Raw genomic sequence first — 24,577 nt, forward strand, 5'->3', positions numbered from 1 at the left:
GTGGAATATTGGCACTGAGTGGGGTAAGGGTGATTAGGTTTTAATGAGATGGTAAGGGGTGCATGATCGGTTGCCAAGGAGGGAGTAGTCGTATCTTATACTTGTGGGTTAAGGTGGGGGATACAAGAGGAGGATGCAAAGGAGGCTTTGGATTGGGAAGAAGGGAGGCAATGAGATATAGCTGTAGTCCAGGAATAGTCAGGGAAGCAGATAATTTAGTTAAAGTGTCTCAGCCTAATAAGGGAACTGGGCAGGTGGGGATAACTAAAAAGGAGTGCTTAAAAGAGTATTGTCTAAGTTGGCACCAGAGTTGGGGAGTTTTAAGAGGTTTAGAAGCCTGGCCGTCAATACCCACAACAGTTATGGAGGCAAAGGAAACAGGCCCTTGAAAAGAAGGTAATGTGTAGTGGGTAGCCTCCATATTGATTAAGAAGGGGACGGGCTTACCTTCCACTGTGAGAGTTACCCAAAGCTCGGCATCCATGATGGTCTAGGGGGCTTCTGAGGCGATCGGACACTGTCAGTCTTCAGCCGCTAAGCCGAGAAGATCTGGGAAGGAGTCAGTCAGAGAGCCTTGGGCCAGAGTTCCAGGGGCTCTGGGAGTGGCTGCCAGGTAAGTTGAACAGTCCGATTTTCAGTGGGGTCCCACACAGGTGGGACGCAGCTTAGGAGGAATCCCAGGCTGCGGGCATTCCTTGGCCCAGTGGCCAGATTTCCAGCACGTGTAGCAAGCTCCTGTGGGAGGAGGTTCTGGAGGAATGCCTGGCCGCTGCACTTCAGGTGTTTGGAAGTTCTTATGTGCTGGAGATGTGGCTGGGGTTTGTCTCGCAGTGGAGGCAAGGAATTGCAACTTTTTTCTATTATTGTACACCTTGAAGGCGAGGTTAATTAAATCCTCTTGTGGGGTTTCAGGGCCGGAATTTAATTTTTGGAGCTTTATTTAATGACGGGAGCAGATTGGGTAATAAAATGTATTTTGAGAATAAGACGGCCTTTTGACCTTTTAGGGTCTAGGGCTGTAAAGTGTCTCAGGATTGCTGCCAAACAAGTCATGAACTGTACTGGATTTTTTTTTTTTTATTTTATTATTATACTTTAAGTTTTAGGGTACATGTGCACAATGTGCAGGTTAGTTACATATGTATACATGTGCCATGCTGGTGCGCTGCACCCACTAACTCGTCATCTAGCATTAGGTATATCTCCCAATGCTATCTCTCCCCCCTCCCCTCACCCCACAACAGTCCCCAGAGTGTGATGTTCCCCTTCCTGTGTCCATGTGATCTCATTGTTCAATTCACACCTATGAGTGAGAATATGCGGAGTTTGGTTTTTTGTTCTTGCGATAGTTTACTGAGAATGATGATTTCCAATTTCATCCATGTCCCTACAAAGGACATGAACTCATCATTTTTTATGGCTGCATAGTATTCCATGGTGTATATGTGCCACATTTTCTTTTATTTATTTATTTATTTATTTATTTATTTATTTTTTTTTTTTTTAATTGATAATTCTTGGGTGTTTCTCACAGAGGGGGATTTGGCAGGGTCATGGGACAATAGTGGAGGGAAGGTCAGCAGATAAACAAGTGAACAAAGGTCTCTGGTTTTCCTAGGCAGAGGACCCTGCGGCCTTCCGCAGTGTTTGTGTCCCTGGTTACTTGAGATTAGGGATTGGTGATGACTCTTAACGAGCATGCTGCCTTCAAGCATCTGTTTAACAAAGCACATCTTGCACCGCCCTTAATCCATTTAACTCTGAGTGGACGCAGCACATGTTTCAGAGAGCACAGGGTTGGGGGTAAGGTCACAGATCAACAGGATCCCAAGGCAGAGGAATTTTTCTTAGTGCAGAACAAAATGAAAAGTCTCCCATGTCTACTTCCTTCCACACAGACACAGCAACCATCCGATCTCTCAATCTTTTCCCCACCTTTCCCGCCTTTCTATTCCACAAAGCCGCCATTGTCATCCTGGCCCGTTCTCAATGAGCTATTGGGCACACCTCCCAGACGGGGTGGTGGCCGGGCAGAGGGGCTCCTCACTTCCCAGTAGGGGCGGCCGGGCAGAGGCGCCCCTCACCTCCTGGACGGGGCGGCTGGCCGGGCAGGGGGGCTGACCCCCCCCACCTCCCTCCCGGACGGGGCGGCTGGCCGGGCGGGGGGCTGAACCCCCCACCTCCCTCCCGGACGGGGCGGCTGGCCGGGCAGAGGGGCTCCTCACTTCCCAGTAGGGGCGGCTGGGCAGAGGCGCCCCTCACCTCCCGGACGGGGCGGCTGGCCGGGCGGGGGGCTGACCCCCCCACCTCCCTCCCGGACGGGGCGGCTGGCCGGGCGGGGGGCTGACCCCCCCCACCTCCCTCCCGGACGGGGCGGCTGGCGGGCAGAGGGGCTCCTCACTTCCCAGTAGGGGCGGCCGGGCAGAGGCGCCCCTCACCTCCCGGACGGGGTGGCTGGCCGGGCAGGGGGGCTGACCCCCCCCACCTCCCTCCCGGACGGGGCGGCTGGCCGGGTGGGGCGCTGACCCCCCCACCTCCCTCCCGGACGGGGCGGCTGGCCGGGCGGGGGGCCGACCCCCCCACCTCCCTCCCGGACGGGGCGGCTGGCCGGGCAGAGGGGCTCCTCACTTCCCAGTAGGGGCGGCCGGGCAGAGGCGCCCCTCACCTCCCAGACAGGGCGGCTGGCGGGCGGAGGGCTGACCCCCCCACCTCCCTCCCGGACGGGGCGGCTGGCAGGCGGGGGGCTGACTCCCCCACCTCCCTCCCGGACGGGGTGGCTGGCTGGGTGGGGGGGCTGACCCCCCCATCTCCCTCCCGGACGGGGTGGCTGGCCGGGCTGAGGGGCTCCTCACTTCCCAGTAGGGGCGGCCAGGCAGAGGCGCCCCTCACCTCCTGGACGGGGCAGCTGGCCGGGCAGGGGGGCTGACCCCCCAACCTCCCTCCCGGACGGGGCGGCTGGCCGGGCGGGGGCCGACCCCCCACCTCCCTCCAGATGGGGCGGCTGGCCGGGCGGGGGGCCGACCCCCCCACCTCCCTCCCGGACGGGGTGGCTGGCCAGGCGGGGCTGACCCCCCCACCTCCCTCCCGGACGGGGCGGCTGGCCGGGTGGGGGGGCTGACCCCCCCATCTCCCTCCCGGACGGGGTGGCTGGCCAGGCTGAGGGGCTCCTCACTTCCCAGTAGGGGCGGCCGGGCAGAGGCGCCCCTCACCTCCCGGACGGGGCGGCTGGCCGGGCGGGGGGCTGACCCCCCCACCTCCCTCCCGGACGGGGCGGCTGGCCGGGCGGGGGGCCGACCCCCCACCTCCCTCCCGGATGGGGCGGCTGGCCGGGCGGGGGGCTGACCCCCCCCCCACCTCCCTCCCGGACGGGGTGGCTGCCGGGCGGAGACGCTCCTCACTTCCCAGATGGGGTGGCTGCCGGGCGGAGAGGCTCCTCACTTCTCAGACGGGGCAGCTGCCGGGCGGAGGGGCTCCTCACTTCTCAGACGGGGTGGTTGCCAGGCAGAGGGTCTCCTCACTTCTCAGACGGGGCAGCCGGGCAGAGACGCTCCTCACCTCCCACACGGGGTCTCGCCGGGCAGAGGCGCTCCTCACATCCCAGATGGGGCGGCGGGGCAGAGGCGCTCCCCACATCTCAGACGATGGGCGGCCGGGCAGAGACGCTCCTCACTTCCTAGATGTGATGGCGGCTGGGAAGAGGCGCTCCTCACTTCCTAGATGGGATGGCGGCTGGGCGGAGACGCTCCTCACTTTCCAGACTGGGCAGCCAGGCAGAGGGGCTCCTCACATCCCAGACGATGGGTGGCCAGGCAGAGACACTCCTCACTTCCCAGACGGGGTGGTGGCCGGGCAGAGGCTGCAATCTCGGCACTTTGGGAGGCCAAGGCAGGCGGCTGGGAGGTGTAGGTTGTAGTGAGCCGAGATCACGCCACTGCACTCCAGCCTGGGCACCATTGAGCACTGAGTGAACGAGACTCCGTCTGCAATCCCGGCACCTCGGGAGGCCGAGGTTGGCGGATCACTCGCGGTTAGGGGCTGGAGAACGGCCCGGCCAACACAGCGAAACCCCGTCTCCACCAAAACCAGTCAGGCGTGGCGGCGCATGCCTGCAATCGCAGGCATTCGGCAGACTGAGGCAGGAGAATCAGGCAGGGAGGTTGCAGTGAGCCGAGATGGCAGCAGTACAGTCCAGCTTCGGCTCCGCATGAGAGGGAGACCATGGGGAGACGGAGAGGGAGACGGAGAGGGAGACGGAGAGGGAGACGGAGAGGGAGACGGAGAGGGAGAGGGAGAGGGAGAGGGAGAGGGAGAGGGAGAGGGAGAGGGAGAGAATGAATACTCTTCCTTTATAAACACACAGTCGTGCCACATTTTCTTAATCCAGTCTATCATTGTTGGACATTTGGCAACCCAAATGTCCAAGTCTTTACTATTGTGAATAATGCCACAATAAACATACGTGTGCATGTGTCTTTATAGCAGCATGATTTATAGTCCTTTGGGTATATACCCAGTAATGGGATGGCTCGGTCAAATGGTATTTCTAGTTCTAGAGCCCTGAGGAATCGCCACACTGACTTCCACAATGGTTGAACTAGTTTACAGTCCCACCAACAGTGTAAAAGTGTTCCTATTTCTCCACATCCTCTCCAGCACCTGTTGTTTCCTGACTTTTTAATGAATGCCATTCTAACTGGTGTGAGATGGTATCTCATAGTGGTTTTGATTTGCATTTCTCTGATGGCCAGTGATGGTGAGCATTTTTTCATGTGTTTTTTGGCTGCATAAATGTCTTCTTTTGAGAAGTGTCTGTTCATGTCCTTTGCCCACTTTTTGATGGGGTTGTTTGTTTTTTTCTTGTAAATTTGTTTGAGTTCATTGTAGATTCTGGATATTAGCCCCTTGTCAGATGAGTAGGTTGTGAAAATTTTCTCCCATTTTGTAGGTTGCCTGTTCACTCTGATGGTAGTTTATTTTGCTGTGTAGAAGGTCTTTAGTTTAATTAGATCCCATTTGTCAATTTTGCCTTTTGTTGCCATTGCTTTTGGTGTTTTAGACATGAAGTCCTTGCCCATGCCTATGTCCTGAATGGTAATGCCTAGGTTTTCTTCTAGGGTTTTTATGGTTTTAGGTCTAACGTTTAAGTCTTTAATCCATCTTGAATTGATTTTTGTATAAGGTGTAAGGAAGGGATCCAGTTTCAGCTTTCTACGTATGGCTAGCCAATTTTCCCAGCACCATTTATTAAATAGGGAATCCTTTCCCCATTGCTTGTTTTTCTCAGGTTTGTCAAAGATCAGATGGTTGTAGATATGCGGCGTTATTTCTGAGGGCTCTGTTCTGTTCCATTGATCTATATCTCTGTTTTGGTACCAGTACCATGCTGTTTTGGTTACTGTAGCCTTGTAGTATAGTTTGAAGTCAGGTAGTGTGATGCCTCCAGCTTTGTTGTTTTGGCTTAGGACTGACTTGGTGATGTGGGCTCTTTTTTGGTTCCATATGAATTTTAAAGTAGTTTTTTCCAATTTTGTGAAGAAAGTCATTGGTAGCTTGATGGGGATGGCATTGAATCTGTAAATTACCTTGGGCAGTATGGCCATTTTCACGATATTGATTCTTCCTACCCATGAGCATGGAATGTTCTTCCATTTGTTTGTATCCTCTTTTATTTCATTGAGCAGTGGTTTGTAGTTCTCCTTGAAGAGGTCCTTCATATCCCTTGTAAGTTGGATTCCTAGGTATTTTATTCTCTTTGAAGCAATTGTGAATGGGAGTTCACTCATGATTTGGCTCTCTGTTTGTCTGTTGTTGGTGTATAAGAATGCTTGTGATTTTTGCACATTGATTTTGTATCCTGAGACTTTGCTGAAGTTGCTTATCAGCTTAAGGAGATTTTGGGCTGAGACAATGGGGTTTTCTAGATATACAATCATGTCATCTGCAAACAGGGACAATTTGACTTCCTCTTTTCCTAATTGAATACCCTTTATTTCCTTCTCCTGCCTGATTGCCCTGGCCAGAACTTCCAACACTATGTTGAATAGGAGTGGTGAGAGAGGGCATCCCTCTCTTGTGCCAGTTTTCAAAGGGAATGAATGTTTCCAGTTTTTGCCCATTCAGTATGATATTGGCTGTGGGTTTGTCATAGATAGCTCTTATTATTTTGAGATATGTCCCATCAATACCTAATTTATTGAGAGTTTTTAGCATGAAGGGTTGTTGAATTTTGTCAAAGGTCTTTTCTGCAGCTATTGAGATAATCATGTGGTTTTTGTCTTTGGTTCTGTTTATATGCTGGATTACGTTTATTGATTTGCGTATATTGAACCAGCCTTGCATCCCAGGGATGAAGTCCACTTGATCATGGTGGATAAGCTTTTCGATGTGCTGCTGGATTCGGTTTGCCAGTATTTTATTGAGGATTTTTGCATCCATGTTCATCAAGGATATTGGTCTAAAATTCTCTTTTTTGGTTGTGTCTCTGCCAGGCTTTGATATCAGGATGATGCTGGCCTCATAAAATGAGTTAGGGAGGATTCCCTCTTTTTCTATTGATTGGAATAGTTTCAGAAGGAATGGTACCAGTTCCTCCTTGTACCTCTGGTAGAATTCAGCTGTGAATCCATCTGGTCCTGGACTCTTTTTGGTTGGTAAGCTATTGATTATTGCCACAATTTCAGCTCCTGTTATTGGTCTATTCAGAGATTCAACTTCTTCCTGGTTTAGTCTTGGGAGAGTGTATGTGTTGAGGAATTTATCCATTTCTTCTAGATTTTCTAGTTTATTTGCATAGAGGTGTTTGTAGTATTCTCTTATGGTAGTTTGTATTTCTGTGGGATCGGTGGTGATATCCCCTTTATCATTTTTTATTGCATCTATTTGATTCTTCTCTTTTTTTCTCTTTATTAGTCTTGCTAGTGGTCTATCAATTTTGTTGATCCTTTCAAAAAACCAGCTCCTGGATTCATTAATTTTTTGAAGGGTTTTTTGTGTCTCTATTTCCTTCAGTTCAGCTCTGATTTTAGTTATTTCTTGCCTTCTGCTAGCTTTTGAATGTGTTTGCTCTTGCCTTTCTAGCTCTTTTAATTGTGATGTTAGGGTGTCAATTTTGGATCTTTCCTGCTTTCTCTTGTGGGCATTTGTTGCTATAAATTTACCTCTACACACTGCTTTGAATGCATCCCGGAGATTCTGGTATGTTGTGTCTTTGTTCTCATTGGTTTCAAAGAACATCTTTATTTCTGCCTTCATTTTGTTATGTACCCAGTAGTCATTCAGGAGCAGGTTGTTCAGTTTCCATGTAGTTGAGTGGTTTTGAGTGAGATTCTTAATCCTGAGTTCTAGTTTGATTGCACTGTGGTCTGAGAGATAGTTTATTATAATTTCTGTTCTTTTACATTTGCTGAGGAGAGCTTTACTTCCAAGTATGTGGTCAATTTTGGAATAGGTGTGGGGTGGTGCTGAAAAAAATGTATATTCTGTTGATTTGGGGTGGAGAGTTCTGTAGATGTCTATTAGGTCCACTTGGTGCAGAGCTGAGTTCAATTCCTGGGTGTCCTTGTTGACTTTCTGTCTCATTGATCTGTCTAATGTTGACAGTGGGGTGTTAAAGTCTCCCATTATTAATGTGTGGGAGTCTAAGTCTCTTTGTAGGTCACTGAGGACTTGCTTTATGAATCTGGGTGCTCCTGTATTGGGTGCATATATATTTAGGATAGTCAGCTCTTCTTGTTGAATTGATCCCTTTACCATTATGTAATGGCCTTCTTTGTCTCTTTTGATCTTTGTTGGTTTAAAGTCTGTTTTATCAGAGCCTAGGATTGCAACCCCTGCCTTTTTTTGTTTTCCATTTGCTTGGTAGATCTTCCTCCATCCTTTTATTTTGAGCCTATGTGTGTCTCTGCCCAGGAGTTGGGTTTCCTGAATACAGCACACTGATGGGTCTTGACTCATTATCCAATTTGCCAGTCTGTGCCTTTTAATTGGAGCATTTAGTCCATTTACATTTAAAGTTAACATTGTTATGTGTGAATTTGATCCTGTCATTATGATGTTAGCTGGTGATTTTGCTCATTAGTTCATGCAGTTTCTTCCTAGCCTTGATGGTCTTTACATTTTGGCATGATTTTGAAGCAGCTGGTATCGGTTTTTCCTTTCCATGTTTAGCACTTCCTTCAGGAGCTCTTTTAGGGCAGGCCTGGTGGTGACAAAATCTCTCAGCATTTGCTTGTCTGTAAAGTATTTTATTTCTCCTTCATTTATGAAGCTTAGTTTGGCTGGATATGAAATTCTGGGTTGCAAATTCTTTTCTTTAAGAATGTTGAATATTGTCCCCCACTCTCTTCTGGCTTGTAGAGTTTCTGCCGAGAGATCCACTCTTAGTCTGATGGGCTTCCCTTTGTGGGTAACCCGACCTTTCTCTCTGGCTGCCCTTAACATTTTTTCCTTCATTTCAACTTTGGTGAATCTGACAATTATGTGTCTTGGAGTTGCTCTTCTCAAGGAGTATCTTTGTGGCGTTCTCTGTATTTCCTGAATCTGAATGTTGGCCTGCCTTGCTAGATTTGGGAAGTTCTCCTGGATAATATCCTGCAGAGTGTTTTCCAACTTGGTTGCATTCTCCCCATCACTTTCAGATACACCAATCAGACGTAGATTTGGTTTTTTCACATAGTCATATATTTCTTGGAGGCTTTGCTCGTTTCTTTTTATTCTTTTTTCTCTAAACTTCCCTTCTTACTTCATTTCATTCACTTCATCTTCCATCGCTGATACCCTTTCTTCCAGTTGATTGCATCGGCTCCTGAGGCTTCTGCATTCTTCAGGTAGTTCTCGAGGCTTGGTTTTCAGCTCCATCAGCTCCTTTAAGCACTTCTCTGTATTGGTTATTCTAGTTATACATTCTTCTAAACTTTTTTCAAAGTTTTCAACTTCTTTGCCTTTGATTTGAATTTCCTCCCATAGCTCAGAGTAATTTGATCGTCTGAAGCCTTCTTCTCTCAGCTCGTCAAAGTCATTCTCTGTCCAGCTTTGTTCCATTGCTGGTGAGGAACTGCGTTCCTTTGGAGGAGGAGAGGCGCTCTGCTTTTTAGAGTTTCCAGTTTTTCTGCTCTGTTTTTTCCCCATCTTTGTGGTTTTATCTACTTTTGGTCTTCGATGATGGTGATGTACAGATGGGTTTTTGGTGTGGATGTCCTTTCTGTTTGTTAGTTTTCCTTCTAACAGACAGGACCCTCAGCTGCGTCTGTTGGAGTACCCGGCCATGTGAGGTGTCAGTCTGCCCCTGCTGGGGGGTGCCTCCCAGTTAAGCTGCTTGGGGGTCAGGGGTCAGGGACCCACTTGAGGAGGCAGTCTGCCCGTTCTCAGATCTCCAGCTGCATGCTGGGAGAACCACTGCTCTCTTCAAAGCTGTCAGACTGGGACATTTAAGTCTGCAGAGGTTACTGCTGTCTTTTTGTTTGTCTGCGCCCTGCCACCAGAGGTGGAGCCTACAGAAGCAGGCAGGCCTCCTTGAGCTGTGGTGAGCTCCACCCAGTTCAAGCTTGTGGGCTGCTTTGTTTACCTAAGCAAGCCTGGGCAATGGTGGGCACCCCTCCCCCAGTCTCGCTGCCGCCTTGCAGTTTGATCTCAGACTGCTGTGCTAGCAATCAGTGAGACTCCGTGGGCGTAGGACCCTCCGAGCCAGGTGCAGGATATAATCTCCTGGTGCGCCATTTTTTAAGCCCGTGGGAAAAGCGCAGTATTCGGGTGGAAGTGACCCGATTTTCCAGGTGCCGTCTGTCACCCCTTTCTTTGACTAGGAAAGGGAACTCCCCGACCCCTTGTGCTTCCCGAGTGAGGCAATGCCTCGCCCTGCTTCGGCTCGCGCATGGTGCGTGCACCCACTGACTTGCACCCACTGTCTGGCACTCCCTAGTGAGATGAACCCGGTACCTCAGTTGGAAATGCAGAAATCACCCATCTTCTGCATTGCTCACGCTGGGAGCTGTAGACCAGAGCTGTTCCTATTCAGCCATCTTGGCTCCTCTAAAATCTGGATTTTTATATTTGATGAGAAAGAGCCTAAATGCTATCTGATTTGGGATAAAGAAAAAGGAGCATTAACCTTGACTATGCATTTAGCTCCAGCCACCTTTTTAAGAGTAAATTGCTGGGCAGGACAGGGAGGGCTAGTCATGGAAGGAAACCTTAAGCCGGACCAGGTGTGAGGAGGGGAGGTGATAAAAAGATTATAGGGTGGAGGAGCAGAGGCTGAGGAAGAATTGGGACCTAGCTTGGCCTGGCGAGGAGCAGCCTGGGGAGGAAGGGAGAGGGTCAGATGGGTCTGTAGAAAAGGAATATTAGAAAGACTCAGTGATGCTTGGGGTTGGTACTGAGAGGACAGGCAGGAGGGAAAGAAGGAAGATTTGGGACGAGTTGCACTGGGCACAGAGACTAGGAAGGGACTGATGTGTAAAAGAATGCCTGGACATCAGGCACCTCAGACCGTTTGCCTATTTTACGACAAGAATTATTTAGATCTTGCGGGATGGAAAAATTCAAAGTGCCGTTTTCTGGCTATTTGTAACTACTGTCGAGTTTGTATTGGGGTCAAGCGGCATTGCAGAAGAAAATAAGGCATTTAGGTTTTAGGCCAGGTGTGAGTTGAAGAGGTTTTAAGTTTTTGAGAACACAGGCCAAGGGAGTAGAAGGAGGAATGGAGGGTGGAAGGTTGCCCATAGTGAAGGAAGCAAGCCTAGAGAAAAGAGAGAGTAGAGAAACAGAGGGAAGGGGTTCGGGGGTTCTTACCTTCCAGAAAAGTGGGAAAAGGGGTTGGGGTGCAGACATAAGAGGTCAGGGCATGGAAATAAGGGATGGGGTGCGGAAATAAGGGATTGGGGCGCAGAGATATAAGAGGTTGGGGCGCAGAAATAAGGGATTGGGGCACAGAGATAAGAGGTTCGGGCGTGGAAATAAGGGATTGGGGGTTCTTGCCCCATAGAAAAGCAGGACTTGCCGCTAGGGGTGAAGGAGAAGGGGTTGAGGGGTACTTGCCCCTCCCTCAGAAAAGCAGAGAAGGGGTAGAGACAAGGAGAGAAGGGGTTGGGGTACTTGCCCCTTCCCCAGAAAAGCGAGACTTGCCGCTAAGAGTGAAGGACCAAAGCAGGCATCCCTCTGTGGTCTGACACCTTTGAAACGTGGGTGAATAATCAGAGAGGTGTCCCTGCAATGATTAAACACCAAGGGAAGGCTGCCTTCCCAGTCCGTGACCAGCGCCGGAGTTTTGGGTCCACGGATAAAACGTGTCTCCTTTGTCTCTACCAGAAAATGAAAGGAATTGAAATTAAGAGAAGGGAGAGATTGAAGTGTGGCACCAAGATTGAAAGGAGAAAGAGGTTGAGGGATAGTGAGGGAGGTTGGAGAAGAGAGTAAAAAGAGGCCGCTTACCAGATTTGAAATTGGTGAGATGTTTCTTGGGCTGGTCAGTCTGAGTACCTGAGGTTGTAAGTGGATCTTTCTCATGGAGCAAAGAACAGGAGGACAAGGGATTGATCTCCCAAGGGAGGTCCCCTGATCCGAGTCACGGCACCAAATTTCATGCGCGTCCGTGTGAAGAGACCACCAAACAGGCTTTGTGTGAGCAATAAAGCTGTTTATTTCACCTGGGTGCAGGTGGGCTGAGTCTGAAAAGAGAGTCAGTGAAGGGAGATAAGGGTGGGGCCATTTTATAGGATTTGGGTAGGTAAAGGAAAATTACAGTCAAAGGGGGTTTGTTCTCTGGCGGGCAGGAGTGGGGGGTCACAAGGTGCTCAGTGGGGGTGCTTTTTGAGCCAGGATGAGCTAGGAAAAGGACTTTTACAAGGTAATGTCATCACTTAAGGCAAGGACTGGCCATTTACACTTCTTTTGTGTTGGAATGTCATCAGTTAAGGTGGGGCAGGGCATATTCACTTCTTTTGTGATTCTTCAGTTACTTCAGGCCATCTGGGCTTATACGTGCAGGTCACAGGGGATGCAATGGCTTGGCTTGGCCTCAGAGGCCTGACAGTCACTGTGGAAAACAGTTTAGCCATTCCTCAAAAAGTTAAACATGAAGTTACCATTTGACCCAGAAGTACCTCTCAGTATATAACCAAGAGAAATTAAAACGTGTCCACACAAAAACTTGGACACAAATGTTCATAGCAGTATTATTTATAATAGATAACGTATGGAAAAAACCTAAGTGTCTACCAGTAGATGAATGGATAAACAAAAGGTGGTATATCCATACAATAGAATATTATTCAGTATTAAAAAAGGATGAAGTACTGATACTTGCCACAACAAGATGGACCTTGAAAACCTTCTGCTGAGTGAAAGAAGCCAGTCACAAGAGGTCACATATTGTATTACTCCATTTATATGAAACATCCAGAATAGACAAATCTGTAGAGACAGAAAGTAGATGAGTGGTTTCTGGGGGTAAGGGAAAAGGGGAATAAGGAGTTACTGCTAGTGGGTATGACGTTTCTTTTTGGGATGATGAAAAATGTACTGAATTAGATAATGGTAATGGTTACACACCTGTTAATATATTAAAACCTTCTGAATTGTACATTTTTAAATGGTGAATTGTGTAGAGTATGTCTCAATTTAAAAAAAAAAAAAAAAAAGGAACAGTTCTAATTTTCGGATTGTCCCCAGCTTTGTGGCTCCGATGGTCTGTAGAGCCAGCCCTGAGTGGGCTGCAATCCTCCCATTTCTCCATTCAGCCTGTCAGATGCTGCTCCTCTTCAAGGTTCATCCCAACACCCTGTCACCCCTCCACAGCCCACCCTTCCCCACCTCTGCCCACCATGGGGAAGCCTTCTGATTTCTTGCAGGGGAGCCTTCCCTTGAGGAGTGTAGTGGTTTAAGCCAAAAGCATTCTGGGACACTGAGTTCATCGTACTTTTCTCTCTACTTTTGTATACATTTGAAACTTTCCATAATAACAGCAAAAAGGACTCTCCCCTCCAGCCTGCCCGGCACTCAAGCAGCTTGTGTATATCTTCGTAGATAAATGTACATTAATGATTGACCTACATGAAGATAAAACAATAAGAAGAATTCCCTCTGCTGGAGTGTAGACCCACACTGCCCTTTTCCCAGCATGGTGGTATCAGGAGAATAGAACAGGGCCTATGCCTTCTCTTCTCTAATGATCCTTGGTTTGTAAGTTTTTTCCCCAAGAGACCGTTCCTTTTATATTTTTATTTTTTTAAAGGTAGGTGAGTTGCCTTTGCAAATCCTTTGCCCATTTTTCCACTGGGATTATTTTTCTTAAAGATTTACAGGAGCTATTTATATATTCTGGATATTGATCTTTTGTTGGGACTGCAAATATATTTTTCCCTGTGTGAGGCTTATCTTTAATTTTTAACCATATTTCTAGTGATGTCTTTAAAATGCTCTGACCTTCCGTTACTGTTCTTGTTATCTGTCAGTTTAAGGCAGGGTCCCATGTAAGAGTCCATCACTGCGCTTCCTGGAAAATCTGCTAGTGATAAAGGAGGCCGAAGTTTGTCTTCCCTCTTTGCCTTTTCCAGGAAGTGGATTTCATTTCATTCTTCCAGCTCTTATTGCTACCATAGTACAACGGAGTTAAAGGGGCAATCAGAGGCAAGATGACGACTGCATTGTGAGTCACTGCAAGGACTTTCCCTTCAATTCAGAGTAAGATAAGGAGCCAGGGAGGGCATTGAGCAGAGGAGTAGCTACAGCAGTGGTCTAGGCAAGAGATGGCAGTGGCTTGGATTGGGGTGATAGAGGTGGAGGTGGTGAGAAATGGTCAGATTTGGGGTGCATATTGAGGATACAGCCAATAGGCCTTGCCAGTGGATTAGATCAGCAGTGTGAGAGAAAGAAAAGAGACAAGGATATCCCAAGGTTTTTGGCCTAAGTAACTGTGTCTACTTTTGCTCAAAAAGTAATCAAGTATTTGGGCTTAAAGTTAAGTCAGCTCCACAAATACAGAGACCATCTCTGTTTTGTGACTACTGATCTCCAAGCTACCACAGTGACAGGTACATACGCACTCAGTAAATATTCGTGGAATACTAAATAACAATCTTTTTACAAATGGGCGGCATCGGTGGTATAGGCTTCAAGCACACCAGAGGACCCATTTTATTTCCACAGCCCTTTGGCATCCATCTCAACTGTCCCAACTTCTCATTCCTGGCCCTCCCTTCCATTGTCATCTCACCCTAGGAAGAGCGCTAAGTCCCCCACTGTATCCCCATGCTTCTGCCTCCTCCATCCTTCTCATGCAGGGTGCCCCAGGGAGTGGGAAGATGGAGTGACAGGCAGCAGGGCCTGAAGGACTGGAGAGCTTTCTCTCCACTCATTTCAGTCCTCCTGTGGTTCTTCTGCCAAGGCTTTTAGCAACTCTGCTCACTATCTGCATTAGCCGCAAGAGGAGTGGATGGGAACAAAAGCAGGATGAGAGGCTCTTGTTCTTTCTCTCTTTCTAGAAGAGGCTAGCAGAGCTCTTCTCACCTTGACATTTAGTGGCAGATATTCATTACCCTAAATATTACACCACCAGCAACAACACCCCCATCATCATCATCATCATCACCAACCTGTTAATCAAAATAATTGCAATCACCATTTAGTAAATGTTTACCATATGCCAGATGCTACTCATTTCACCTATATTATTGAATTTCATCTGTGAGGACTCCGTGAGGTGGGTAGTATCATCCCCATTTTACAGATACACAAACTGAGACAGTTTCACTTGACCCTTTTTTGGATCCCCTACCCTATTCTTGCTTTGCAAGGCTCACTTCCTCATGCTAAATCCTTTATTGCTGTTTGCAAAACATGCTCAGTTTCTGCTTGCATTTCCGCAGCCTTCGGATTTCAAATCCAAATTTTTTAGAGTCAGGCATGTTCTCACTATATTGCCCGGGCTGGAGTGCTGTAGCTATTCACAGGCATGATCATAGTGCACTGCTGTCTTGAACTCCAGCGTTTGAAGACATACCTTCCCCTCATGCCCTCGACTAAATGCTTACTGCCCAGGAGGGGCTTTTCTTTATCTTTGGTGACCCTGCAGCCTTCAGTCTTTCCCAGATACTCTCTTCCCACTGCCTCTGGCACCTATTTGTGCTCAGGCAAAGGGATGAGTATTGTTCTGCTTGATTTGGGGGAAAAGAATAACTTGTGGATTGAGCTCATAGGAACATGGCACCGGCTGTTTGGGGCTTTTGCTGTTTTACCAAAAATAGCAAAATCTCTTGCCAAAAATCAATCTCTCTCTCTCTCTCTCTCTCTCTCACACACACACACACACACACACACACACACACACACACACACACACAGCTTTCTCTTGGCTTGAAAATATTTTGAGGGCACATTGCTCTTGTTCACATGGCAAAGAAAAGTGTGGGTTTCAGTATCAGGCTGACTTGGGTTCAAACAGGCTATACCTGAGCTGGGTCATCATGCCCAAGAAGCATGAGTCAGGGCTGAAATCTACTCGCTGGCTCAGCCAAGCCCCAAGACCTGGCCCAGGGCTGCATCAGCCAAGGAAGGAGTGCCTTTTCCCAGCTGGTCTTCCCAGAAGACTTGCCTTTTTGCAGTGCACCCACTCAGAGGGGGAGTCTTTTCCTAATGCACACAAAGGTGCCTTATGTGAGGGGCAACCATGGTTCAAAGCCTATTTTGCCTCATGCTAGCTGTGCTGCTTAAGACAGGTGACTGTACATATTTATTGTCTTCAGCCAATAATTTGAGAACCCTGACTCTGCAGCAGGCACTGGGCCAAGTGTGGCAGGACCAGTGTGACAAAGTCACGATTCCTGCCTCAGAGAAGCCTGCAGTCTAGTTGAGAGATCCTCACCAACAGTTGGATGGGCACTTAACCTAGCACTCCCAGAATAGATGCTATAGAAGATGCTGAAGGAATGGTGTTCCAGGCAATAGGAACTGCACAGGAAAAGGTAGTGAGATGTAAAACAGCATAGTATCTGCAGAGAACAAAGCACAGTTTGGCATTCCTGAAGCACAGAGAGTCAGGTGGGCTACAGCAGGAGAAAGGGAGAGAGCCTCTGAGGCCCATTTCTCTTATCTCTAAAGCAAGGATGACTATTACCTCCATCAGTGCGGGACCTGATTAGGTATTCAATGCATGATTGCTTCTATGCCCAGGTAGTTTTGAAACTCTGTTGCCCAGATTGGAGTGCAATGGCATGATCTCAGGTCACTGCAATCTCTGCCTCCTAGGCTCAAGCGATTCCCCTGCCTCAGCCTCCCGAGTAGCTGGGACCACAGGCACGCACCACCACGCCTGGCTAATTTTTTGATTTTTTCAGTAGAGATAGGGTTTTGCCATGTTGCCCAGGCTGGTCTCAAACTCCTGAGCTCAGGCGATCTGCCTGCCTCGGCCTCCCAAAGTGCCAGGATTACAGGAGGGAGCCACTGTGCCCAGCCCTAGTTTTGAAACTTCTCAAAGGCAGGTACCGTGTCTGCAGCTATACCCTATCATAGCACACTGCAGCTTTGAGCACCACTGTTTGAAGACATACCTTCCCCTCATGCCCTCGACTAAATGCTCACTAACCAGGAGGGTCTTTTCTTTATCTTTGGTGACCCTGCAGCCTTCAGTCTTTCTCAGATACTCTCTTCCCACTGCCTCTGGTACCTATTCATTCTCAGGGAAGGGGATGAGTATCAGACACTGTGCTGAGAATAAAATCTGTGTTAAATAAGTAGTTTTTGATTGTCTAGTGCTAGCACATATTAAAGACCTAACAAGTATTTGTTGGATGAATGAAATAAGCCAGTCCTGAAACCTGGTCCTTACCTCCTAGATCTGCCTGAGATATGGGGTTGGAGGAGGGTCTTTGGAGAGGAACGAGAAGGAGGAAGCACATCAAAACCTTCTTTCCAGAGGGAGTAGCTGCTTGGACCATAGAGCAAAGCCCTGTGAAGCATTTTCCTTAAACTGGAGGCCCCTGGGTTGCCATAGGGCCTCCACTCTCTGGTTTCTGCTCTCAGGGGCAGGACAGGGGAGCACGGCTGAGGTGTGAGTGGCCAGGGCAGGGGTGCAGGCAGAGCTCCAGTCCCAGAAAATGACTGCTCATGTCGTTCGCTGGGAGTGTAAAGAAGAGGCTGGGGGCTGAAGAGGCAAAGCCCAGGGAATATAAGAAAATCTTAGCTGCAGGGAAAAGCGCTCTTCTTCGCAATGAAGGCAATGAAATTAGAGGTAATTGCAAGACACGGAGATTCGATAAAACCTAGGGAGGCGATCAGGTAAGGGGGGCTGGAACTAGCTTGGGAGATGGAACAGCTGTTCCTCCCCTCCAGCGCCACTGGTAATAGCCCCTGTGTTGTTAGAATTGAACAAACAGTCCTTCCTGGCCCCAACCAGCGATGCCCTGTAATGGGGGCAGCTGGAGCAGCCAGAGGAGTGGGGGTAGCTTGCCCACCTATGAGACACAAGCTTTCCCCCGAGACACCACACTGTGCTGGGGTCTGGAAGCCCAAGAATGGTAGAGCTTGGACCTGCTGTAAGGGCAGAAGGCTAATGGGGATGACTACCATAGGACTGACCTCCCTTTCACCTGCAGGCCACAGGCCACCAGAGGCCCTAGGAGGAGCTAGGGCATGCCCTCCTTCCCTGTCCCCCTGTGTCCTTCCTTTCACTTGCTGAGGATACAGTGGTGAGTAATTCACACCATGAAACAGAATGAAATGTGGAAAGTGCTGGTTAGGAAGCACAAGGCCACGTGGACGCATACAGCAGGTGACAGCCCAGCCCAGGTGCTCCTCAGTTTGGGAAAGTCTTTAAGAAGAAGGGGTCTTTAGTGGGGCCTGATGCATGGCTCTGGGGAGAGGAGTCAGTAGGAGGGGATGGTAGCTGAGAAAGCACAAGCACCTTCTGGAAGATGCATTGCACTTCAGAGGCAAGATTTTCTTTCTTTTCTATTTTTTTAAAATTTCTTACTCTAATCTCATGACAGATTAGGGAGGCAGGTTTTGAAGAAGGTTGCTGATGAGATAGAAAAGCAACCTGAGGAGATGCGGTGCGAAGAGTGACCATGATGAAATTAGCACAATGGCTTTGGGAACTGGTGATCCTGGGCTCTACCTGGTTGGCCCTGACCATGGGAGCCCTGGGCCTGGAGCTGCCCTTGTCCTGCTGGGAGGTCCTGTGGTGACTGCCCGCCTACTTGCTGGTATCCTCCAGGTGCTATGCCCTGGGCACTGTGGGTTATGGAGCGGCCACGTTGCCTGATAGCAAGGACACCATACATGAGCTGCATAATCAGAACCAGGAGCCCAAAGCTGACTCAGCCCACAGACACCCTACCCTCATTCCTGCGCAGACAGCCCTCTCTCCCATTCCCCATTAAAGAGCAAGTTTATTTTCTAATAAAAGAGAGAAACGAAAAGAAGAAAAGAAAAGAAAAGCAACTTTGGGGGGAAGGACTATTACACTGAAAGGAATTACAGTGTCAATGCTTAGGACTATTACACTATTACGCTTAGGGGAAGGACTATTACACTGAAAGGAATTACAGTGTCATGCCATCGCAATTAACATGTCCCACAGCGAGGAATAGCTCAGAAACTCCACGAAGGCCCTCAGGGGACATTAAGCAGCAGCCAAAGCCAATGGTGATGAAAACCAAGGCATAATATTTTATAAGTTTATGATGAAATAAGTGCCAGAGTAGAACCCAAACTGGACAGATACCAAAAGAACAAGACTGTGTCCTTTGCAAGAACGTGGATGGAGTTGGAGGCCACGATCCTCAGCAAACTAACGCAGGAACAGAAAACCAACCGCATGTTCTCACTTATAAGTGGGAGCTAAATAATGAGAACCGATGGGCACAAAGAGGGGAACAGCAGACACTTGGGCCTACTTGGAGGTGCAGGGTGAGAGGAGGGAGAGGATCAGGAAAAATAACAATCAGGTACTATGCTTAGTGCCTGGGAGAGGGAATAATCTGTACAATACAGCCCTGTGACACAAGTTTACCTACATAACGAACCTGCACATGTATCCCTGAACCTAAAATAAAAATTGAAAACAATAAATAAATAAATACAATATGTCAACAAGAACATATGGGAAGAACCATGCCCAAAATGAAATAGTACAAAATGGTCATGCTTGGGTAAGGGATTGTGGCTGATGTTTCTTTTGTTGCTTGTTTAAACAAATTGTTTTTCTTTGTTTGTTTGTTTGTTTTTCTTTGAGACGGTCTCACTCCGTTGCCTAGGCTGGAGTGCAGTGGCGCAATCTTGGCTCACTGCAACCTCTGCCTCCTGGGTTCAAGCAATTCTCCTGCCCCAGCCTACTGAGTAGCTAGGACTATGGGTACCCACCACCATGCCTGGCTAATTTTTGTATTTTTTAGTAGAGACGAGTTATGATCTCACCACTGTACTCTAGCCTGGGTAACAGAGCAAGACCCTGTCTTTAAAAAATAAATTTAAAAATTAAAAAAAATGTAAAATTTAAAACATGAATAACAGCAAAAAATGGTAGGTTTAGAAAAATGTTGTTTTCAAGCTGCTTGTTATTTCCCTTCTCCCTCAAAACAAGGTCATTCATGGCCGTTGTCAGTGAAAACAAATTATGTTTCCTTCATTCTGCAGCCCAGAGACATTGTGTTCTGCTCAACTCAATCCAGCTCAGTAAGGTCTTTATGTGAACATCTTCCCTGCGAAGGTCACCTGCCTAAATGCTAGGGCTGTGGGGTGAGGGAAGGAGACACAAGCAAAAACAAGGGGAGCCCTTGTCTTCAGATTGACTGGAATATAAGGATGAGGAAGGGAATTAGGTTAGAAAGAAAGATGTAGGAATCTTTAGAAGAGTCTCTATGCTAGGACTTGCTCTGCAGGTAGTGAAAAGTGAGGGTGTGATAGGATTAGAGTTGGTTCTTAGGAAGATCATTCCAGGAGCAGTGGGAGGACAGGCAAGAAGAGTGGAGTCAGGAAGGTGAGAGAGCCCACAGACTGGCCCATGCTTCCAGGGGAGGAGAGCAAGGCTGGGGAAGGACAGCAGTAAGTGCAGCCAAGGAGCCCCCTCTTATTGGCCAGCAGGCTTCTCTTAAGTGTGGCAGGCAGGGAACAGGCTAACTCACCCTGTCTTCATGCCTGAAAGAAGAATGCACCCTAGGGCAGTGGTTCCCAACCTTGGCTGCCCAGTGGGCTCAACTGAGGAGCTTTAAAAATACTAGGTCCTGGGTCCCATCCCCAGATAGTCTAATTTAATAGATTTGGGGTATTTTGGAGCTTTCAGAGGATTCTAATGTGTGATCAAGTTTGAGAGCCACTGCTTTAGAGCACCATCAAACACACGAGGAGTCCACGCTCCTGGTCCCCAGGCAAGATCTCATGCTTCTGCCTAGAAGAGATGCTGAGCAGCTGGTCACTCTTTTTATTGGGCTCTGAATTTGAAGCTTTTCTGGGGATGTGACAACTATGTCCTCTGCAGCATTGAGAGCACTCAGCTACTTTGGCTCAGTACTACTGATGGCGTTCTGCCTTCTGATCTCTCCTCCTGTGTTCCTCATCACTATGTGTCCACTTCCTTCTGTATGTCCATGCCTTTACCATGCAATTTTGGGAGGGGCAGGAAGAAACCACATGTGTTCAGGGTAACATCTTGACCTGGAAACTCCTTTCTGTCTTTTATGGGAACAGGGGTGCCGGGGAGATTCTGGGCCTTGGGGACATCCAGTCTTCCTAGTCCTCAATGGCTGAATACAGGAAAAAGACATCATTTTAGGTATATTTATAAAGCAGCTGAGCTCTGTCTCAAGATGGCTAGGATGAGCATTTGGAATAAAAAGTTGATATTTGCGATATGTAACCAATACCCGCAGTAATTAGGCATGAAGTTTGGCCACCTCTTCTATGGGTGAGGCCACCCAGAGTTATTCTTGTCTTTCCTCCACCCCATTGAGCATCTCCGATGTGACAAAACTAAAATGCTAGAGGCCTGGGTCCAGCACATGAGGCCAGAAAAGAGTGTAGGTACCTGGGAATGTCAGTGCCATTCAGTGTGACCACAGTAAGGGCAATCACCCGGGCAGCTCTCCCAGGAATCTGTCCTTGTGGCCAGCCAGTGGGGTGACTTTCCAGAGTCCATTCCCCTGCCAGTCTATAAGTGGCAAGCTTGGGAGACAGACAGCCAAGGTCCTTTTAGGGATGTGGCTAGCAACCTCTGCCAGAAACCTAGCATGGGTCAGAGGGATAGTCAGCTGCTGTGAACCACTAGATGCCCTGTCACCAACATGGGGCAAGTTGAAGAGGTAGGAAGAGGGAAGGGAGCAGTGGGGACGCCTTCCCCTGCCACTTTCACAAATCATTACTATCTGCTGGGGGCTGGGCCCCACAGTGCATCTGATAAGGTTGTTAAGTCAGCCGGAACACCTGCCCGGCCATCTGGCACTTTTATCCTCTAGACCGGGCCACACAGGCCTCTTTGCCCACCTCCTCAAAGGCAGTGGGCTGCAGGGGTCCCAGGACACCTGCTGGGGAGAATGAGTGTCCCCCAGCCACCCCACCGCCAAGCCCCAGGTGCTGCAAGGCAGCATTCTGGGTCCTCAGGTAACACTTCAGAAATCCTTCTTTATTTTTTTGAGAGATGGCTCCCTAGCAGCAATGTAGCAGGGGTGGGGGCCCCCGCTAAGGCTGCCTGGAGTTTAAACACAGGTTGATTCTGACCTCACTGAGATAACAGAGCAATGTAGTAGTGAGGCTGGAACAGGGAGAATTTAACCACGGCTTTTTCTTCTCTTCATATCAGACTAAATTGGAGCAGCAGCCCAGGGATCATTAATCATCTCAAATGCTGGGCTTCAGAATCTTATCTCCAGTATAATCACCTCATCCCCTCTTCTGGGCTCTGGAAACCATAGCATTTGAGGAGAAAGCACAGTACCTATGTTAGCAGATCTTGTTAGGCGCTATCTAGCAGCACGTGACCCGTTAATGTATATGTTTAGCTGTTCCAATTGAGTTCTGATTTGTGTTAAGAAAAACACAACTGGGGTTGCTGGAAATGTTCTGTATCCTGGCCCAGATGATGGTTATACATTTATAAAACACCATCAAGCTCTACACTTAAGTGTCCTTTATCCATGTTCTCTCTGTCTCTCTCGCTATCTCTTCCTTATCCTTCTATTAATAAGTTTTTTGAAGAAAAATAGGCCGTGTGCAGTGGCTCACGCCTGTAATCACAGCACTTTGGGAGGCCGAGGCAGGTGGATCTCCTGATGTCAGGAGTTTGAGACTAGGCTGGCCAACATGGTGAAACCCCGTCTCTACTAAAAATACAAAAAATTAGCCAAGTGTGGTGGAGCATGCCTGTAATCTCAGCTACTTCGGAGGCTGAGGCAGGAGAATTGCTTGAACCCGGCAGGTAGAGGTTGCAGTTAGCCGAGATCGTGCCATTGCACTCCAGCCTGGGCAACAGAGCGAGACTCTGTCTCAAAAATAAATAAATAAATCTATTTTTTAAAAACAAAAGGCACAATTGAGTGATACTAAACTCTCAAAAGTAGCAACACCACCCTTGCAACCAAGGGGCCTAGGCTGTGTGTGCGTCACTGTAACCTTAGTGGCTGGATCTCTGGCTGCTCAGGGCAAGGCAGTAGAAGGGGGAAAAGAGGTGGAATTTGGAGGAAAGCACATCTGTATTTGCATCTTGACCCTGCCATTTTCTATGTCACTGTGGACGAGTCATTTGGCCTCTCTGCTCCCCAGTTTCCTCACCTGCAAAGTGGGGATGATATTGCCTGTCTTACTGGTTGTTGCGATTAAGATGATTAAATGGCAACATCTGGCACATTGAAGGCACACACCAAATGGCAGTGCTCATTACCATGTAATAGCTGGCTTCTCCTGCTTCCCCTGTCCTCACCTTACCCTGTCACACCTAGCACCTGAAATAAACTTTGATGTTGCCTGGCACCCTGTCCTCTCCCTTCACCTCCCCTCACCCACCCCAGGATTTCCGCTCCTCATTTCTTTTTATTTTTTTTGAGACAGAGTCTTGCTCTGTCACCCAGGCTGGGGTGCGGTGGTGCAACCTCAGCTCACTGCAACCTCCGCCTCCTGGGTTCAAGCGATTCTCCTGCCTCAGCCTCCCGAGTAGCTGGGATTACAGGTGCCCACCACCATGCCTGGCTAATTTTTTGTATTTTTAGTAGAGATGGGGTTTCACCATGTTGGCCAGGCTGACCTCAAACTCCTGACCTCAGGTGATCCGCCCGCCTTGGCCTCCCAAAGTGCTGGGATTACAGGCGTGAGATACCACACCCGGCCAGCCTTGGCTCCTCATTTCAACTGCAGAAGTCCTGCTTATATGACTTGGCCTGACCCATGCAGGTGCTGCCACCCACTGCAGCAAGAGTAGGTCACTCCTTTCTAACATCCATCCTTTGAGATCATCCCAACCCTGACTCTGTGGTCAGTGCCCTCAGCAGCAGCATGGCCCCAACTGTACCTGTGGGCTCAGGAGACACTGGGTTGGAATTCCCATGGTGCATGCAAAGGACATCAACAGCTACTCAACACTTGCCACTGGGGACCAGGGAGTGGTGGTTCCTTAGAGCAGAGGGTATGGGTGGGTGCTATGGTCTGAATGTTTGTGTCCCCTCCAAAATGTATGTGTTGAAATCTAATCCCCAATGTGAAGGTAGGAGGTGAAGCCTTTGGGAGGTGATTAGGTCATGGAGGTGGAGCCCTCATGAATGAGATTAGTGCCCTTATAACGGAGGCCTCAGAGAGCTGCTATGCCTCTTCCACCATGTGAGGACACAGCTAGAAGGCTCCATTTATGAACCAGAAATTGAGCCCTCACCAGACACTGGATCTGCCAACACCTTGACTTTGGACTTCCAGCCTCCAGAACTGTGAGAAATCAGTTTCTATTATGTATAAGCTACCCAGCTTATGGTGTTTTGTTATAGCAGCCTGAACTATGACAGTGGGGCAGACCCAGTGCTATTTGTGTCCACTCAGGAATGCAGACCAGTCCAAGGTGAGGTGTTCCAGAGCCTGTCTGTGCTGGGTGGACACATCAGAGGCATGAGACTCACCCATGCACACCCTTTTCCAGCATGCATGCCTGTACTGCAGTGAATTTACTTTCCTTTATGAACCACCTACATTTGCAAAATCACTCCTTCCTAATGAGCCCACGTTTGCTTCCCTCTCATGCCAACCAGAAGCAGTCTAATCCCTTTTCTACACTCTCAGCATCCAAATATTTGAAGATATTCGTGTCCCTTGTCCTCGAAGGGAGCCTCGTGCAGGTTAAAGATCCCCTGTTCCTTCAATGGTAGCTCAGACATCAGCCTGAAAAGCAGCTCCTTGCTGTGGGCCCTGCACCATTTTCATCACGGAGGTGGCAAGAGATGAAATGACGATTTTGTCAGTGGGCGATTTTCAGACACAGACCCTTAGGAAAGCATGGCTATTATCACAGCAGCTCCCAAGTGCCCACAACAGGCCCTCCTCTGTGCACTTCACACCCTTTTACCATCCTGCACCAGCCCCCACTCCCCTCTCCGATTGATTCCCGGTTCACACTAAT

The 24,577-nt window shown here is 48.6% G+C and overlaps 2 annotated features.

The window, feature by feature from the left end:
* Positions 11,508 to 12,128: an enhancer, noted in NCBI's record as "OCT4-NANOG hESC enhancer chr15:89104975-89105595 (GRCh37/hg19 assembly coordinates)". NCBI's record gives its function as "activates a minimal SCP1, AML or CMV promoter by ChIP-STARR-seq in naive H9 embryonic stem cells {active_cell/tissue: H9 hESC(naive)}" and the evidence as "EXISTENCE:reporter gene assay evidence [ECO:0000049][PMID:30033119]".
* Positions 18,194 to 18,693: an enhancer, noted in NCBI's record as "H3K4me1 hESC enhancer chr15:89111661-89112160 (GRCh37/hg19 assembly coordinates)". NCBI's record gives its function as "activates a minimal SCP1, AML or CMV promoter by ChIP-STARR-seq in primed H9 embryonic stem cells {active_cell/tissue: H9 hESC(primed)}" and the evidence as "EXISTENCE:reporter gene assay evidence [ECO:0000049][PMID:30033119]".

Source organism: Homo sapiens, chromosome 15, assembly GCF_000001405.40.
Source record: "Homo sapiens chromosome 15, GRCh38.p14 Primary Assembly".
In the NCBI taxonomy this organism is placed as follows: Eukaryota; Metazoa; Chordata; class Mammalia; order Primates; family Hominidae; genus Homo; species Homo sapiens.